Consider the following 19750-nt stretch of genomic DNA (forward strand, 5'->3'; position numbering starts at 1 on the left):
AAAACCATTTCCACATTGGCAGGGCCACTCTCAAGTGTTCAAATAAAACCAGGGGGGAAAGCCACTGATTTTCTTAAATCTTTTCTCTTAGGCATGGACCAACATGGTGCTAACAGTTCTCAATCAGATTCAGATTCTCCCAGACCAGACCTTCACGGCCCTCCAGCCCGCAGTGTTCCCGTGCATCAGTCAGCTGACCTGTCACGTGACCGACATCAGAGTTCGCCAGGCTGTGAGGGAGTGGCTGGGCAGGGTGGGCCGTGTCTATGACATCATTGTGTAGCCGACTCCTGTTCTACTCTCCCACCAAATAACAGTAGTGAGGGTTAGAGTCCTGCCAATACAGCTGTTGCATTTTCCCCACCACTAGCCCCACTTAAACTACTACTACTGTCTCAGAGAACAGTGTTTCCTAATGTAAAAAGCCTTTCCAACCACTGATCAGCATTGGGGCCATACTAAGGTTTGTATCTAGATGACACAAACGATATTCTGATTTTGCACATTATTATAGAAGAATCTATAATCCTTGATATGTTTCTAACTCTTGAAGTATATTTCCCAGTGCTTTTGCTTACAGTGTTGTCCCCAAATGGGTCATTTTCAAGGATTACTCATTTGAAAACACTATATTGATCCATTTGATCCATCATTTAAAAAATAAATACAATTCCTAAGGCAATATCTGCTGGTAAGTCAAGCTGATAAACACTCAGACATCTAGTACCAGGGATTATTAATTGGAGGAAGATTTATGGTTATGGGTCTGGCTGGGAAGAAGACAACTATAAATACATATTCTTGGGTGTCATAATCAAGAAAGAGGTGACTTCTGTTGTAAAATAATCCAGAACACTTCAAAATTATTCCTAAATCATTAAGATTTTCAGGTATTCACCAATTTCCCCATGTAAGGTACTGTGTTGTACCTTTATTTCTGTATTTCTAAAAGAAGAAAGTTCTTTCCTAGCAGGGTTTGAAGTCTGTGGCTTATCAGCCTGTGACACAGAGTACCCAGTGAAAGTGGCTGGTACGTAGATTGTCAAGAGACATAAGACCGACCAGCCACCCTGGCTGTTCTTGTGGTGTTTGTTTCCATCCCCAAGGCAAACAAGGAAAGGAAAGGAAAGAAGAAAAGGTGCCTTAGTCCTTTGTTGCACTTCCATTTCCATGCCCCACAATTGTCTGAACATAAGGTATAGCATTTGGTTTTTAAGAAAACAAAACATTAAGACGCAACTCATTTTATATCAACACGCTTGGAGGAAAGGGACTCAGGGAAGGGAGCAGGGAGTGTGGGGTGGGGATGGATTATGATGAAATCATTTTCAATCTTAAAATATAATACAACAATCTTGCAAAATTATGGTGTCAGTTACACAAGCTCTAGTCTCAAAATGAAAGTAATGGAGAAAGACACTGAAATTTAGAAAATTTTGTCGATTTAAAATATTTCTCCTATCTACCAAGTAAAGTTACCCTATGTTTGATGTCTTTGCATTCAGACCAATATTTCAGGTGGATATTTCTAAGTATTACTAGAAAATACGTTTGAAAGCTTTATCTTATTATTTACAGTATTTTTATATTTCTTACATTATCCTAATGATTGAAAACTCCTCAATCAAGCTTACTTACACACATTCTACAGAGTTATTTAAGGCATACATTATAATCTCCCAGCCCCATTCATAATGAATAAGTCACCCTTTAAATATAAGACACAAATTCTACAGTATTGAAATAAGGATTTAAAGGGGTATTTGTAAACTTTGCCCTCCTTGAGAAATATGGAACTACCTTAGAGGTTAAGAGGAAGGCAGTGTTCTGACTTCTTTAGGTGATCTGAAAAAAACACCCTTATCATCCAGTGTACCATCTAGAGATCACCACAGAATCCATTTTTTTCCCAGTTCCACAAAACACTCTGTTTGCCTTCAGTTTTTACTCACTAGACAATAATTCAAGTTTAGAAACAGGTAATCAGCTATTTGATCTTAAAAGGCAATGAATTGTTGGGATATCAGTGAACTATGTTGTATACTTTTGAATTTTTACATTTTATAAATGGAATTGAAAGTTGGATAACTGCTTTTTTTAAATTTTCCAACAGAAGTAACACCACAGTTGCTTTGTTTCTTTTTATAGCTTACCTGAGGTTCAGTTCTTCTTTGTGAACCTGTGAGTACTCCACAGTTTACTGGGGGAAAAGGCTTCAGTAAAGCAGAGGCTAGAATTACAGTATTTATACATAGCAACTTTTCATAAAGTAGAAAAATTCAAAGGAAGCTGTCTCAATTTGAGAATACCAGCTGGGCACGGTGGCTCACGCCTGTAATCCCAGCACTTACTTTGGGAGGCCAAGGTGGGCAGATAACCTGCGGTCAGGAGTTTGAGACCAGGCTGGACAACATGGTGAAACCTCGTCTCTACTAAAAATACAAAAATTAGCCAGGTGTGGTAGGATGCACCTGTAATCCCAGCTACTTAGGAGGCCGAGACAGGAGAATCGCTCGAACCCAGGAGGCGGACGTTGCAGTGAGCCAAGATTGCACCATTGCACTCCAGACTGGGTGACAAGAGTGAAACTCCATCTAAAAAAAAAAAAAAAAAAAAGTGAATACTGTATCCCAAAGTATGTTAGTTGTTTGTTTGGAAATCAGCATTCTCCCCGATGCTCTATTATGGGATCCAAAATTCTTGAACATAAGTTTACCCTGTACTGTGTCCAAACACTGTTCTAGTTCTAGCCTGATTATGGGTCCCAAGAATAAAAGGATGAGTAGGTGTACAGAGCTCTTGACCTACAATTTTTTAAGAGTGTTTTGGTACCTTCCCATTGTCTTCTCTATAACTCAGTCCTAACATACTCTGCACTCGAGTTACCAGCCATCCACACTGACATCAGATTTCAACCAGAACCATCACTGAGTGACAGCAGTACTTCTCAGAGGTATTTGCAGCTTGATGCAAAGTAGTCTCTAATGAGTAGGCATTCAGGTGGTTCTTCCCAGCAGGTGGAGAAGAAAGGGAGGAGATGAAGAACACTGAGAGGGGAGTGGCACCTTCCCAGGCTGCCCAGCTCAGTCTCTTGCCCTGTTCCTGTGACTCAGCTGCCCACTCCCCCAACTTTGTTTCCCTCCCTCCCAGTCTCTGAAAGTGTCAGGTGTTTCTCTCCTCACAGTCTCTTTTGCAGCAACAGTAAGACAAAATTCAAGGCAGCCTTTTAAAGTTACGAACAGTTATTAGCATGTATTTACAGACCTAAGCAGAATGAGAGTTTATACATTGTTTTTAGTTGCCTGTATTTATAGCCAAAAGTATATTACCTTAAAGTTGAGATCTTTCTCTTCTTTTCCTAAATTTTGGTAAAGTGTGCTTCATGAAACAAACATCTGGAAAACTCCAAGTATAAGAGACCCTGGACTGATGATGGCCCAGCCAAGTATATGGAGGGACAGAGTTCTCTCTGTCATTAATGAGGACATCGGTTTTCACAATTGAACCTCATGCACTGTCCACAGCATCTCACCTAGCTCCTGTATCTCCTGATCTGCTTTTAAAAATAGTTAGTTAGGCTGCCTTTTTACACCACCTTCTCTCTCTCCCCTTGTGGTAATTTTCCAGCCTTCCCCATAGATATAAAACTAGAACACCTTTATGATTTGGGGTCTATGTAATGACTGACCGATAAGAACCCAGGCAGATGCTAACATACTTAACAGCTCGCATTAAAATACTTTAAATCAGGCGTGATGGCTCATTCCTGTAATCTCAAGCACTTTGGGAGGCTAAGGTGGGTGGATCTCTTGAGGTCAGGAGTTCGAGACCAACCTGGCCAACGTGGTGAAACCCCGTCTCTACTAAAAATACAAAATTAGCCGGGCATGGTGGCAGCTGCCTGTAATCCCAGCTACTCGGGAAGCTGAGGCAGGAGAATTGCTTGAACCTGGGAGGTGGGGATTGCAGTCAGCCAAGATTGTTCTGCAGCATGGGTGACAAAGTGAGACTTCGTCTCAAGTAAATAAAACTAAAATTTTTAAATCAAACATGACAAAAATGTTAATATAATTCAGAAGTACCTTGAAATTGAAACATATTTGTGCAATGATCATTAGGCTTTTTGTCCTTGTTGTTTTAAAATGAGGCTTATACAGAGTGAGTTGAGAGTCAAGTAGCCTTCGCTGTGAGACGGTAATGCAGTTATATAATAGATACCCTTGACTTTGCCAGATTCATCACAATACTGCTTATACAGGAAAGTTTTCTCAGAAAGGAAAATCCATTAGTATCAGTCCCATCAAGCCAAACAGAATGAAGACCTTTGATAGTAATAGCAAGAGGTTACAAATAGCAGGGAGGAGGCGAGTAGTGAATGTCACTGTGATTGCAAACCCTTACCTGTATTATCACACGTAGTCCTCACAACAACCTTGTGAGACAAGTGTTGTGTTCCTCATTTTTTCAGAGGGGAACACAGACCCAGAGAGGTTAAGAAATTTGCCCAAGATAACAAGTAAAAGGCAAAGTTGGTTGCAAAAGAGGTGTTTCTGAATTCAAGGGCCATACTCTCTCTCTGACAACATGCTCTAAGTCCATAGAGTAAGCACTCTAGTATGAAAAAAAGTTTCAAGGAACGAGGCCATGAAAATGAGACTATTTGACATCTCAGATCTGTCTGGGATGTTATGGAGGTTTTTAAAAATAAAGTTGAAAAAAGAAAATGAATCATGTTTATACATAAAAAAATCACATGTAACACATTTCAAGTGTTTGAAAATAAAACCAAAATCTAAACTTTAGTCTTCAAGCAGACATTCAGTGTTACTTTAGAAAACTCACTGAATTAGGTGGAAATGATGGAATAATACTATTCATGGCCAGCTATTAACACAGAAGAACATGGCAGTGTGTGTCTGGAACGGCATGCACAATTTGTAAACCTTTTTCAAATATCATTTAATCAACTCAGAATAAAGTGCCCTGTAGCCAACAGTGCCTCTTTACTTGCTTCTCTGGGAAATACATGGTACTAAATTAGTAGCACAAAGTTTGGGAATATGCAAAATAATGGATAACCATTTTTCAAAATGTACATTCTCTGAAGAGGAAGCAGCTGGTTGGACAGGATTTCTTGAAGAGCCAGGTGCTAAGGGCATCAGGTCGACATCCATAGTAACCATGTGCCATAACATCTACACATTTCCACTTGTTTTACAGACAAGGTAACAGGCAGAAGGAAAATCCAGAGTCTTGCAGTAAGCAGATGACAAAACTTCAATATGCTTGGGCACCACTTAGGTGACCCCAGGGAGATTTAGTGTGGCCTTAGGAAAGCAAAAGAGCACTTTTTATTGGAAATATGAGCTTGTCACTGGGAAAGATTTGTAAAATTGATCAAGAACTTGATTTATAATTATGCCTCAAAAAAAAAAGTTCTCATTTAGTAGTGGAGCAATCTAGAAAACATACCTTTTTTGTTTGTTTGGAAGATCCTCTTTCCCTGGCTGTATTGTAGTGTTTGCTATTTGATGTGGAAATAACTAATAACTTAAGATTTTGGAACAGAACACCCTTTAGATTTCCAAAACACAATTCTTATTTCAGGGAAGACAGACCAAAAATATCTCCTGAGATCATTGGTTTCTTTATAAATTGTGGTACCACTCCATCATTGAAGAGAAACCACTACCACACCACTAGCACCATACAGAACCTTTTCTCTGTATCTTTGTACAATACTACAAAGGGGTACCAGGGAGGAGAGAGTGGCTGACCACTTTAGTGACAAAACAGCACTCCACTGCTGGTGAATCCCATCTAATTATGGTCCTTCCACCCTTTTCAACCACCAACAACTGTTCGTACTGTTAATTCCTATCCTGAAGGTTTAACCAGTGGTTGTCTAGTATCTTCTGTCTTTAGAACAGTGGTTCTCAAACTTTAGTACACATCAGCATCACCTGGAGGGCCTTTTTTTAAAATAAGACACAGATTGCTGGGCTCATGGTCAGAGTTCCCAGTTAAGTAAATCAGGAAATTTGTATTTCTAACAAGTTTATAGGTGAGGCCAATACTGCTGTTTTGGGAACTATGCTTTGAGAACCACTGCCTTGAAAAAATTTCCAACTTCTACCTTTAAGATCAGCCTGACTTATCAAACGCTAGAGAAAAACTGAATCTACCCTTGGGCAGATGACTTGGGATTGGATTCTATACAGCAGTCTTGCTCAATCTTCCCAGTTTCCAGTTTTATTATACCAACAATTGGTTTTTACAAGCTAGAAGACAATGAATGTATAAGTTCTATGGAACAGTGAGATAAATCTAAGCTTCTTGTCTTTGTATTTAGAAACATTGATTCTATGGATGATCATTTGTATCATGTTGACCCTTTGACTTGTACTGAAGGTGATTTTAAATTTAAGTATGTAGTGTTTGAATTTCTTCCATCCATGTCGTTTTAATGAGATGTTTCCATGTCAGCTCCTTTACAGCCTTGGCTCCTGGCTTACAGATTTTTGAATAGTTGTTTGCTTGCCAGTTGTTTTACATCTTTCATTGGCCACCAAAATATTAGCCATTTGAGATGAGATGAGACTACTTGTTGTACCTTCATCTTTCATTTAATTTTCTGGCGTAAATTAACATTTTAATTTCATATATATCTGTAAAGAGTCTACCCAAAGGCTTCACGGAAATTTGCAAAATGAACTAATTCCCTTTTAAGCAGCAGGTGTGCCTGTTTTTGACTTTTCAGTAAATATGTTGTTTGTGCACATATCTACATGGTGGAGACCATATTCATTATTTCATCTTCCAAATAATGGGAAAAATATAAAAGTGAATCAGTGTGCTTTGGGAATTCAGTGAAATCATGTTAACTCATATAGAGGGGGCCTTAGTTTATCTCTTCTTTACTGAATTAATTAGTTTTGGAAATTCTTTTACCATTAAAAAAAATTAAGGACCATACAGAGAATGATTTAAGAAAAAACAAGTCACTTAAAAATCATCACCTATTTATAAACTGTATTAATTACACATAATGCTTATTGATTCAATGAGGTTTCTCTAAAGACTTCTGCTTAATAAATATGCTGACTTCATTTAAATTAGTTTAGACTATTGTAGGAATGGAAGGAAATGATTATATTTACTAGAATTAGTGAGATCAGAAAGCATATCAGAATGTTGATGATATCAAGGAGACAATCTACAGAGTTTTTGCCTCTGTGGATGGAAATAAGGGTGTTTTTTTTTGGTTTTTTTTTTACTTTAGTTTCCCATAATTTTTGGAAATTATGTGTGCATTTAGTTCTTTTAGTAACACTGATTTTAAAATTAAATTTCAAAAGTCAATCTCTAAGAGTAATTTATTTTTGTTTTACCAACCAGTGCCAAAAAGGAGAGGAGGGAATCCAAAAGCCAATCTTTTGAACCAATGTGTAAAAGATTATGTTTTTTCTTAAAGTTAGGGAGGCTCGGGCCCTGACACTGCCAGCCCCAGTGAGCATCCCTGGCTACCTCGGGATTATGTGCAAGCTGCTTTGTCCTACATTTCTTTCATCTGGTTCTTATTGGGAGTGCTTCTCTCTAATAAAAATTGATTTCCCACAAAATAGGCAAAGCTGAACAAAGATGAATGCTTTTGATAAGTTGGGTTTCACTTCAGTTGAAACAATGTGATAGAATATCCAGGTGTGGCATGATGGGGCAGGAGGAGGTGCCTAGAGGGAAAAGTTATTTTTGTTTCTTAGTGTTGTGTTGTGGGGATGGGACAGATAAGAATAAGATGTTTATTGCCCTAATCATGCTAAGAGACTATTATTCAATATGCTTTTCCCGCTTTTCTAAGAGGAATAAACTTAGACAAATTACATTATAAACAGTTCCCCTACTACTATCTCCCACTCTAGATAAAGCCAGTGGGTGGTATGGGTCCTTTTATTCCTTATAGTATTATGCCAAAGAATCAACTTATTTTCATTGAAGATTATAAATAAATGAAGCTTGTTATAGCCATAATGATTTGAGTCAGTATACCATTTTACCTATAAAATGCAAAATTCATCCTTGCAACCCCATTCACCAGGAGCCTTGAAGCATTTTGTTTACTCCAAAGGCCTTGTCAAGGAAGCATAATTTTTTGTTTTGCCTTCTTATTTAGTCAGTTTGGTCATATTTACTTAAAAAAACAAACTGAAAATCACACTCCTTTATATGTTGATATAACTGATTTTATAGAATCTGTCTGTTCTTTGTTTAACAGGTCTCTGTAAGCAAGCTTGCAAGTGTATTTTGTGTACATTTTATCTGAGGTGGAAATGAAAATTCTAAAGAGAAAATATTTTAAAAGATATTGTATTTATGTTGCTTGTGTTGTAGAATAAAGATTCAAATGCATTAAAAATCTGGTACATGAAACAATTGTGTTTACTGAATAAATATATATAAATATCCTGTGTTTACAGAATTCTGTCAAAAGAATTAGGCCCCTTTTCATGGCATTTCATAAGTCTAAATGTAAAGGCCCATTTTAAATCCTGTAACATGGAGATAGTCATTATTGACAATTTGGTATATGCCTAAAAAACAAATTTGTAGAAATAATATATCATTTCCTTGTTTAAAAAAAGGGCTTATTCTATGATATTATCTTTTACTCATAAGAACTTATATCAAATTCCTACTGTCAGTAGATATTGATGTAGATCATTCATTTAAAAAATTAAAGTATTACCTTTTGTTCATAAACAACCAAAAATCCAATTAATAAGAATATTAGTATTTAAAAGTAATATTAAAAAATACAGCCACTTTTAACTTCCTGATCTTACTAGATTATTGTTTTAAATACACATATATCAAAATATCACACTATACCCCATAAATATGTACAATTAATGTAATTAGTGATGTCAATTAAAAACAAAATTTTTTGCATGGTGGCTCATACCTGTAATCCAAGCACTTTGGGAGGCTGAGGCAGGCGGATCACAAGGTCAGGAGATCAAGACCAACCTGGCTAACATAGTGAAACCCCATCTCTACTAAAAAAAAATACAAAAAATTAGCCAGGCGTGGTGGCAGGCACCTGTAGTCCCAGCTACTCGGGAGGCTGAGGCAGGAGAATGGTGTGAACCTGGGAGGCGGAGCTTGCAGTGAGCCAAGATTGCGCCACTGCACTCCAGCCTGGGCGACAGAGCAAGACTCCATCAAAAAAAAAAAAAAAAAAAAAAAAAAATTATATATATATATATATATATATATATATATATATATATATATATATTTAAAAAGAAAACGTTTTAAAAAAAAGATTGTAAGTCTATAATATATCAGCCTAGGTATCACCCTGCCCAAATCATAGAAAACTGCCGTTTAGCCAAGCTTGGGGTAAAAGACATTCAAAATGCTATGGAAATTGAATTTTTGCTTATAAGCTTAAGTCATGATTCTATCATGCATACACACTAGTAGTCTCAGTTACACCACCAAGACTCAATCACTTCCATCATAAGGATGAAATAAAACTAAGATAGGCATCAACATACTTTGCATAAGAACATCACAAATACAGGGGCCAACCATGTTTATGGATGGAGACAGCTGAGAGTGAAGCCTCAGCTAAAAAAGCAGAGTTCACATCCCATGCTTTGTCCCTTCCTGGGAGTGGGAAACCTGGACAACACTTGACTACTTAGAGCTCAAGTGTCCTGCTCTGAAAAATGAAAATACACTCTTACCTCAAAGGGCTGTCTTAAGGTAATATGAAAGCTCAATCTTGCAGTGTTTTGCAAACATTAGTGCCTAATCGACAGTAAGTACTATGTGTAGGAGAATAACTATTTATAAATACCATGCTGTTTTGCAAGTTAATTTACATTTGAGGATATGTACATATCCTTGATATTCATATTCATGAATGTTCTCCAACACAGAAAGCTTAACACTTTATACCAATCCAGTATGAAGTTAGCAGCTCAGAAGCAGAGCTCTTTAATCAAACATTTTGGAAATGAATTCTAGGTCAATGGCCAATTCTTTAGTTACTAATATCTAACAATGAATATACTATGTGCACAAATCTATATGTATTTCCTTAAAACAGAGAGAGGATACACTTCAACTATTTGGCTTATGATCAAAACGTGTATTATAATGTAGCTTTGATGTATATTTCATATCACTCATTAGAAAAAATTCACCTTCCCATACAGCTTAAAGCTAGATTCAATATACAAGTGAAAATGAAATCAAAGCATAATGCAAAATTGTGGTTTTCACATATTGACCAGCATTCCTCTTATCTCAAGCCTTTGAAAGAGCATGGTAAGCATCTCTTTGGTCTTCTCCTTGTTTGTTTTTATTTATAGATTCCTAGTTACAACATGAAGCCATTAGTGCCCTGAGTCTCCCTTGCTAACTTAATCTGCTTGTACAAAATGTTGTGTTGTCAGAGAAACAAACTATCCAGTTTAATCTCATTCAAACTCAAAGATTATAAAGGCATAGTTAAATCCCACAGACATTTATAAGCAGATTGTAAATGATTTTTTTTTTTTTAAAAAAAGCTAGGTTATTTCTATTTGAACATGAAGAGATGAAATGCACAACAGTTTAGAGCTGAGAACTCAAATATTGAACTTGTATTCTCTTTGATATTGTTACCTAGTCTTCTTATATCCGCATATAAGGAAACTACATTGAGCTATTGTTCTAACCAGTACAAATGATGTAAGGAAGTAAAACAACATTCTCTAGCACTGTCTCTAGTAGAGAAAGAATTCAAAACAACATTCTCTAGTGGTGTCTCTAGCCAAGAATGATTTGCCTTCAAGAAAATGAATCAGATGTTAAATGTTGTGAAGTAGAAGGCTCCATTTATAGCAACTTGAAAAATTGAGTATTGAAGCTAATTTACCCATTATAAAGGAAAAATATGCTGCCTGTATTACAGATAAAAGTTTGCTATTCCAAGGTTCATTTTAATCTGCTCCAATAATGGCCGTGGACTGTAAATATTTGACAGCTCTTTTAAAATATAACAATGTGTTACAAAAATAATATTCTTCTAAAGTCTAGAATAGATTTCTTTTTCAAGCAGAAGCAGAATATATTATAATAGACCTCTCAGGTCAAAACCATTTATAAATGGACATTTTGGAAAATTAACTGAGCATAGTTGATGTTTTATTCTAAGGACAACAAACTAAAGACACAGGCAGTTACACATTAGTATACATTTAGACAGTTAAATTTTAGATTATTAAATTGGCAAATTTATTAGGTTTGTATAAAAGTAACTGAGGTTTTGCCATTACTTTTTTTTTTTTTTGCTTTTTGAGACACAGTCTTTCTCTGTCGCCCAGGCTGGAGTACGATGGCACAATCTTGGCTCACTGCAACATCTGCCTCCCGGGTTCAAGCAATTCTCCTGCCTCAGCCTCCCGAGTAGCTGAGATTACAGGCACCTACCATGACACCCGGCTAATCTTTGTACTTTTAGTAGAGACCGGGTTTCACCATGTTGGTCAGGCTGGTCTTGAAACTGACCTCAGGTGATCCACCCACCTCGGCCTCCCAAAATGCTGGGATTACAGGCGTGAACCTCCACACCCGGCCAGTCTTTGCCATTACTTTTAATGCAAAAACCACAATTACTTTTGCACCAACCTAATAGCTTTTATTGCTATGGAAACAAACAACCAACCCTGTAAGCCTTTGGTGATTTTGGGGGGGATTAGAGCATGGCCTGGCATGGAATAGAAACAACTCCTCCTCTCCGGGTCTCTCTCTCAGCCCTCTGCTCTGCCTGGCCAGGAGCAGTAGCCTCCCTATCCCTGAACACTCAGCTGAGCACACCATACATTGTCTGCGACCTGCCCATGCTGCTCCTAGGCATCAACCAGAAACAGATTGACATAACAGAGTTGTTTCAAAGGCTGCTCTTGAAAGGATGCACAGGATTCAGCAATTATCAGAACCTGGGTGTGTCTTTCATAAAATTGTAAACTAGCCAAAATTCAAAAATGGGCACAGATATGGATTTAAAGGACCAGATCCCTGATCCAAAAATTGTAGCTGAATGCTACCAGACCACCTTTCTTCAATACAAGTTTTTCCTCAAAAGCATTAAGTATGCTTGGCTGAAAAGTATTCTTGAGATATTAATCTATTTTTTGTCTCTCAATATTTTTCCCCATTTCTTTCTTGCTAGTCAAGTAAATAGTTGGCTTAGGAGTTCATTATTTCAGGGGAGGGACATGATGTGACTGAATGCCAAAAATTGCTTGTGAGTCTCCAGCTCTAGTATTCTAAAAGCCTAAGCCCTTTACAAATATGTTAAGTTTGTGCTATCCTGGCAGAACAGAGGTACAGAACACTTTTTAGTTGAGTTAGAGAAAAATAAAGAAAATGAAAACTTAATATGTAAAGTTGTGGACTAAGATTTATACCTGCTTTTGTAGTGAATAATCTAAAAATCACTGTAAAACCTTATGTCTGGTTTTCTAAGGCAATTAGGATGGCAAACAAACAAACCCATCCAGCTTTCATTACAAATGCAAAGTTATTCCCTAAGGAAGTACCAACAGAGTTGGCAATCAACAAGACCTCCTAAGTTCAAAGCCAGTGGCTCTGGGACTCAGAAATCTAGCTGTCTGCTCTCTTTGGGAACAAGGGGCTGCCTTGTCCAGTCATCTTCTACTGAGGTCCCAAACTCTCTCCTCTTGAATATGTGAGCCATTTTAACAGAATAGAATTTGATTCCATCCACTGGGCAGGGACCCATTTGGGGCGGATAAACCAAATGTGTTCCCCCACCCAATTTTGTAGCCTTCATTCTGCTTACTTCCAGGTAAAGTAGACACCCCATGTCTACTGGGGCTACAATAGCCCAATTTCATGGTTAGGTAATCAGCAAAAGAAACTTTCCACCCCTTGCGAATTACAGCCAAATTCGGCCTTAGAAATTCAAATAATTTCTCTATATAATCTTAAGGAAAATGGCAGGACAATGTAACCAGTTTACTGAGTGACTCAACCCCTATCAAAACTATCCTTCCCCTCCACTGACAACAGCCTCCTCCCCCCCAGCTCACTTAGGTACCTGAACTAGCTCAGCCACCTTAGACAATCTCAAATTCTAATGTCCCTAAGAATTAAAAATTGTTGAATGTTGAACTTGCCGGTGTCCGGGCCTTGGATACCTGCAAGTGTTCTTGCAGAACTTCTGATCCATTGAGATAGTGAGAATGTGGACTTGGGGGCTTGTTTTGATTCCTTATACTCTGATGCTCCATTCAGAGAGGAAATCAGTTAGTATGGTGCAGGGCTCAGGAATCTGCATGATGGCAAGGTTTCAAAATGCAGAAATAGGTGGAAATTGTTCAAGCACTCTATTCCCCAGGTAGTTTCACTTTAGAACGAAGTTTGTAACTTGGGGTAGGCAAAGAATTAAGGGATCTCTGTAATCCCAGCACTTTGGGAGGCCAAGGCAGGTGGATCACCGGAGATCAGGTGTTCAAGACCAGCCTGACCAATATAGTGAAACCCCGTCTCTACTAAAAATAAAAACATTGGCCAGCATGGTGGCACATGCCTGTAATCCCAGCTACTCGGGAGGCTGAGGCAGGAGGATTGATTGAACCCAGGAGGCGGAGGTTGCAGTGAGCCGAAATCGTGCCACTCCAGCCTGGGTGACAGAACGAGATGCTGTCTCAAAAAAAAAAAAAAAAAAAAAAGAGAAAGAATAATTAAGGGATCCACAAACAAGAAAGGGAAAAATTATAGCTCTATTTTCACTGACTCGTAACTGAAATTTAACATGCCCTTTAATTTGGAATGCATACAACTAACCACAGCGATGTTGGCAAGACCTGCAGCTTGTTACCCAGAAAAGTCCCTTCCTATTGCAGATCTCTAAAAATTCCCAGACTTGGAACACATGGTGGTTGTTACTAGAAACCACTACTGGATCTTGTTATTTAATGTATTCATGGGAAAGAATATATATTATTCTACCACAAGTTGAGGATTTTGATAAGTACATTGGCTTCCTTTATAACAAATTGTATTTTATCTTAAGCATTTAGAAACATTATTTAGAAAAGAAATTCCATAGACCTCCCCAGACTGCAAAGAAGTCCACTTTTCAGTTAAAGAAACTGAATTGTCAGTTAAAGGAACTCTGTCCTAGAGTTATCATAAGGAAGGGGATGGCTGTCAATCTGGGACAAACTCATCAAATTATATTTGGAACAAGTACATTTTTCTCTCATGTTACCTTACGGTCTGTTAGGATCACTTGGGAATTAGGAGCCGTAACTCCCTGTCCTAGATTAACACAGTGTGTTTGTGAGCAAATTACTTCTCAAGTCTCATTCCCTTATCTGCCATGTGACAGGGCTGGTGAAGTGATTGCCAAGATCCCTTAAAACTTACCGTTTCCCTTTCCCTGACCAGTATTCTGATGGCAAAGCGGCTCCACTAAGCTCTCACGAAGGCACCTGCTTTAGAGGCATTCAAAAGAGGGGCAATACACAGATTTTCTCCTACTCAAAAGAAATGTCTCCTGGCTGTAGAGTAAAGTTACTATGCACAGATTTTCTCCCACTCAGAAGAAATGTCTCCCGGCTGTAAAGCTTACCATGCACAGATTTTCTCCTACTCAGAAGAAATGTCTCCCGGCTGTAAAGTAAAGCTTACTAAAAAGGCAGTTCTGTACGTATTCATGCAATTCACTCACTTAAAATTCCAGTTTGGTTGGGTTTTTAAAGCATTGTCAAAAAAAAAAAAATAGAATGGCCTAAAATTTCCCCTCACCTCCATTTTTTAAAAATGAAAAAAAAAATCAGTGTGTTAATGTCAGGATTGATCTCTTAAAATTTGTTTAAAAAATGATTTGTTTCATGTAAATTTTAAAAATTGATTCAAATTAGGAATATCTCAAAAATAAAAATACACCTAATAATATTTAAAGATGAGATGGATAAATTATAAGTCAAATACATTAAGTTTCTACCCAGATTTAGGCCCCTGTTAATGAATATACCAACCCTTTAGATGTCTGGAACCAGTCTGACTGCTAATTACTAAGCTAATGTTTATTCTAAATTATTCAGTAACTAATATTGGCAATGATTTTACCAAATAACTCTAATATGCAAATGGCCAAACTCATTTATCATCATGATCTTATATTATTAGCCATCAGATTATGAAATAAATCTAGAAAAATTTTACATATAACACCAACAGGTAAACTGATATTAACTAATAATTATTTCTTCATTCATTATCTTCATTTTAACAATAAATTTTTTAACCACTGAAGCAATCATTTTCTTAAGAAAAGTGAGACTGAGAGGACCACTTTCAAAAGGAATAGGGGTCTCTGCTACTCAGTGTTTACTCTGTCATAGAAAGATGGCCGGGCGTGGTGGCTCACACCTGTAATCCCACCACTTTGGGAGGCCAAGGCGGACAGATCATTTGAGGTCAGGAGTTCTGGATCAGCCTGGCCAACAGGCTCTACAAAAAATACAAAAATTAGCTGGGCGTGGTGGCACGTGCCTGTAGTCCCAGTTACTCTGGAGGCTGAGGCAGGAGAATCATCTGAACCCAGGAGGTGGAGGTTGCAGTGAGCCGAGATGGCACCACTGCACTCCAGCCTGGGCAACAGAGTGAGACTCCGTCTCAAAAAAAAAAAAAAGAAAGAAAGACCGACCTTGTGCTCATATTTCCTCTCTGAATGGAGCATCAGATTATAAATCAAAACAAGCCCCCAAGTCCACATTCTCACTATCTCAATACTCAGAACTATGTTGGACAATTTATTTTAAATATGTCCTTTTATTCTCACCAACAGTCTGCAAGGTAAGTTTTCCAGACCACATTTTACAGATAGAGAGAGTAATGGCTCGGAGAAGTGAACAGAAATAACTTACTGATGGTCACATGGCTGGAAATTGGCAGAGCCAGAATTCAAACCCAGTTCAGCTTGACTGCAAAGCCATACCTTAAGCACTAGGACATGATAGCTTGAGGTAACGATGTAAGTGAAATTAACAGCCAGGCTGGAGTCTTTCCCAGTGCACCATCTCTAACCTTAATCGATCGAACATCACCCACAAACTTGAATTCAAACCTTTTTTTCTTAATCAGTCCTCACAAAATAATTGTGTTATACTAGTCCTCACAGCGAGAAACTGAGTCTGGTCTCATAACCATAGGTTACACAAAATAAATTCATATTCTATAGGAATAAGCAACACACAAGACAACTGATGATCATATTCAACCTGACAATTTAGCATTTGCCATATGATAACTTGAGAGCATTAATATTCGAGGCAAACTTAAAGGTCATTTTGAGTAGTCACAATTTTTAGAATTTCTCATTTTATTCCTGCATTACGCTATGCTGTTGAGAAGCAATGGTTTCAGGCCAAATTATCTCAGCTTCCTTTAGAAATGCCTGTGCTAAATTAAAATTTAATGTTATGTCTCAGCTTTCAAAAAGGGTCAATATAAAAAATCACTGAATTTGTCTTCCATAAATCTATATTAGTAGTAGATACCCATTACATCACTTGATTTCTTATATAAGGAAACATGAGACCATTTTTCAAGAATTCAAAGCCAAGGGCTTTGATAACAACTATTTGATCTTGTAAATAGATACTAACTTTAAAAGGGAGAGAGGGGGAAGTAACCTGTTGCCTTTGTATTTGTATTTTGCCTTCGCTGCCAGTAAACTCAGAGCCAAATTTAGTTTCAAGTAAAGCAGAGTGTTTAGGAACAAGGGAAAAATAAAACACATGCCCCTTGCAACTTACTGCACCTCACCATATTCCTCTTCCTAAGAATTAGACAAGGTGGTTTCAAGTCATTTTCTCTCATGACAAGGAAACATCCTGAGATAGCTCCCAAGGCTGCCCAGCTAGGAAACGGTCTGAACTCAAGCCCAGGTCTGAACCAAAATTCAACTTTTCCAAACATGTTGAAAAAATTATTTCATCCTAACTCCCTAGTAGCACCCATTTGGTTATTAGATTTGTAGTGTTTTTATTTATAAATGACCTTAAAGCCTTTTTGTAAGTAACATATAAATCACGTGTAATTAAAATAGTCCCTCGAGAGAAATGTGGTTCAGCAAACTCCAAAATGTAAGTAGTATACGTTGCCCACAAATACTCTTCACAATACAAGCGCCGCACCAGATACCCCAGGGTTTCAGGTCCATTCTACCCAAACGGTTCAGAGGCAAAAATTGGTGGCATGACCCAGAGCGTATGAAGCAGGTGTCCCTCAATCCCATATGAGTCCCTCAGCACCCATGGGAAGAGGAAAGGATATGGGGTGGCCAGTCTCTCTTTAGAATACATCCTTATCTAAAGAGTTGAGATCAAGAAGAGGCTTGTGACTCAAGAGTTCCCAGAGTTAATTTCCGTTAAGTGTACCAATTCTCCTTTAATAACAATAGCATTTCCTACCATCACACTAGTTAATAGTTAACATCAAGCACTTTGTAAGTATAAAACATTTTACAAGAATTATTTCATATAACCCTCAGAACACTTTTGAACTAGGCATTATCCCTATTTTACAGAGGGAGAACCTCAGGTTGAAAGAAATCACCTAATTTACCCCAAATCATTCATGTTTAGATGGCAGAAGTAGAATCCAAACCAAACCAAACCATCTGGCTCTAGAGCCTGTACCTTTGTCTAATAGCCTATAGGTCTGTCTATGAACCCATCAGGACAAAATCACCTTAAAAACTATAAAGCTTGTTAAACAACTGCACCCAAGTAGCTTCTATGTTTATTTTTTTAATTTATATTAATCAGGAATAGGTAAAATTCAGTAGAACATACTAATCAAAAATTTAATTCTCATAATGGCACTAGACGGTCTAAATATTTATCAGAGGCCGGGCATGGTGGCTCACGCCTGTTATCCCAGCACTTTGGGAGGCTGAGGTGGGCGGATCACGAGGTCAAGAGTTTGAGACCAGCCTGGCCAACATTGTGAAACCCCGTCTCTACTAAAAATACAAAAAAAAAAAAAATTAGCTGAGTGTGGTGGTGGGTGCCTGTAATCCTAGCTACTTGGGAGGCTGAGGCAGGAGAATCATTTGAACCCGGGAGGTGGAGGTTGCAGTGAGCTGAGATCACACCATTGCACTCCAGCCTGGGTGACAGGGTGAGACTCAGTCTCAAAATAAATAAATAAATACATATTTATCAGAATAGCAGCAAATTTGAGTTTTCTATTAAACAGTCTATTTTATGCATAGATTCAAAACCTAATAAACGGGACTTGAGTTATCCTCTAAAGTGGTGATCTATAAGTGTTCTATTATCCATAAATTCCTGATTCCGGCAATTTTTTTCTAGATAACTCCTTCCACTCCCTCAGCTTGAAAACCAGTTTTTCCTTGATGATGCCACCTTCCTTAAAATTTTCTGGGAGTCAGGTCAGAAGAAATACAGAAAGTCTCCAGGCTCCCACCGTGTTCCCAGACCATTGCTCTGACTCTTTTACATGATCAATCCTCTCCTTAGAAACTTGTCCCACTTTGATCTCCAGGTTGAGGTCATCTTTCTCTTCCCTCATTTAATGTTTATCCCACTTTCTGCCCCAAGTAAGCAGCAATTAGGTTGTGTTCTAATCCTCAGGGTTCAGTCCAAGACAGTTAGAAGAATCCAGAAAACATCTTCCAAGATTGTGGTTCAGTACAAGTCACACTGACTGATAGACAACACAGCTGGGCAACCTTTCCACCTGAATGCAATCCATGGACAAATGCCCAAGCCTATGCCCAAATATGGCCCCCAAGCTGTGTTAGGCATAACGAGCTTACATTTTAATGTGTGGCTGAGCGTAGTGGCTCACACCTGTAATCCCAGCACTTTGGGAAGCTGAGGCAGGTGGATCGCTTGAGCCCAGGAATTCAAGACCAGCCTGAGCAACATGGTGAAATTTCATCTCTACAAAAATTCAGCTGGACAAGGTGCCTCACACCTGTGGTCCCAGCTACTCAGGAGGCTGAGGTGGGAGGATTGCTTTAGCCTGGGAGGCAGAGGTTATAGTGAGCCAAGATCATTCCACTGCACTCCAGGCTGGGTAACAAAGCAAGACCTTGTCTTAAAATTTTTTTTTAATTGCATGTAAAAAATATCTTAAAGTCTAAAGGGGAAAATTACATTACCACCAATTATCAAATTTTTACTAAACAGAACACATATCTCAGTCTGAAATCTCCATACTTGGGTTCATTCCTGCACTTCAGGATTTTCACCAGAATTAAGGATATCTTCTAAAACAAAGGGAGGTGCTATCCTAAAAAGCAGAAACGACTTACCACCCCTAAAACTGCAGCTTTCCAACTTCTAAACTTTTTTTTAAATTTTATTATTTTATACTTTAAGTTTTAGGGTACATGTGCACAACATGCAGGTTTGTTACATATGTATACATGTGCCATGTTGGTGTGCTGCACCCATTAACTCGTCATTTAGCATTAGGTATATCTCCTAATGTTATCCCTCCCCCCTCCCCACAACAGGCCCCAGTGTGTGATGTTCCCCTTCCTGTGTCCATGTGTTCTCTTTGTTCAATACCCACCTATGAGTGAGAACATGCAGTGTTTGGTCTTTTGTCCTTGCGATGGTTTGCTCAGAATGATGGTTTCCAGCTTCATCCATGCCCCTACAAAGGACATGAACTCCTCATTTTT

At 38.1% G+C, this 19750-nt stretch overlaps 1 protein-coding gene across 3 annotated transcripts in view; it reads left to right on the forward strand.

Moving 5' to 3' along the window:
* ARFGEF3 (ARFGEF family member 3) overlaps window positions 1–8460 on the forward strand; it is a 182725-nt gene extending 174265 nt beyond the window's left edge. For 2 of the 3 annotated variants that reach the window (NM_020340.5, XM_047419108.1), the window contains one exon: window positions 92–8460. In NM_020340.5, the coding sequence (NP_065073.3) occupies window positions 92–283 (192 nt within the window). In that variant the 3' untranslated portion in view covers window positions 284–8460. The remainder of the gene's footprint in view (window positions 1–91) is intronic. The other variant, XR_001743524.2, reaches the window with a different exon arrangement.
* The last annotated feature ends 11290 nt before the right edge of the window (window positions 8461–19750 follow it).

The sequence above is a fragment of the Homo sapiens genome, chromosome 6 (genome assembly GCF_000001405.40).
Source record: "Homo sapiens chromosome 6, GRCh38.p14 Primary Assembly".
NCBI lineage: Eukaryota > Metazoa > Chordata > Mammalia > Primates > Hominidae > Homo > Homo sapiens.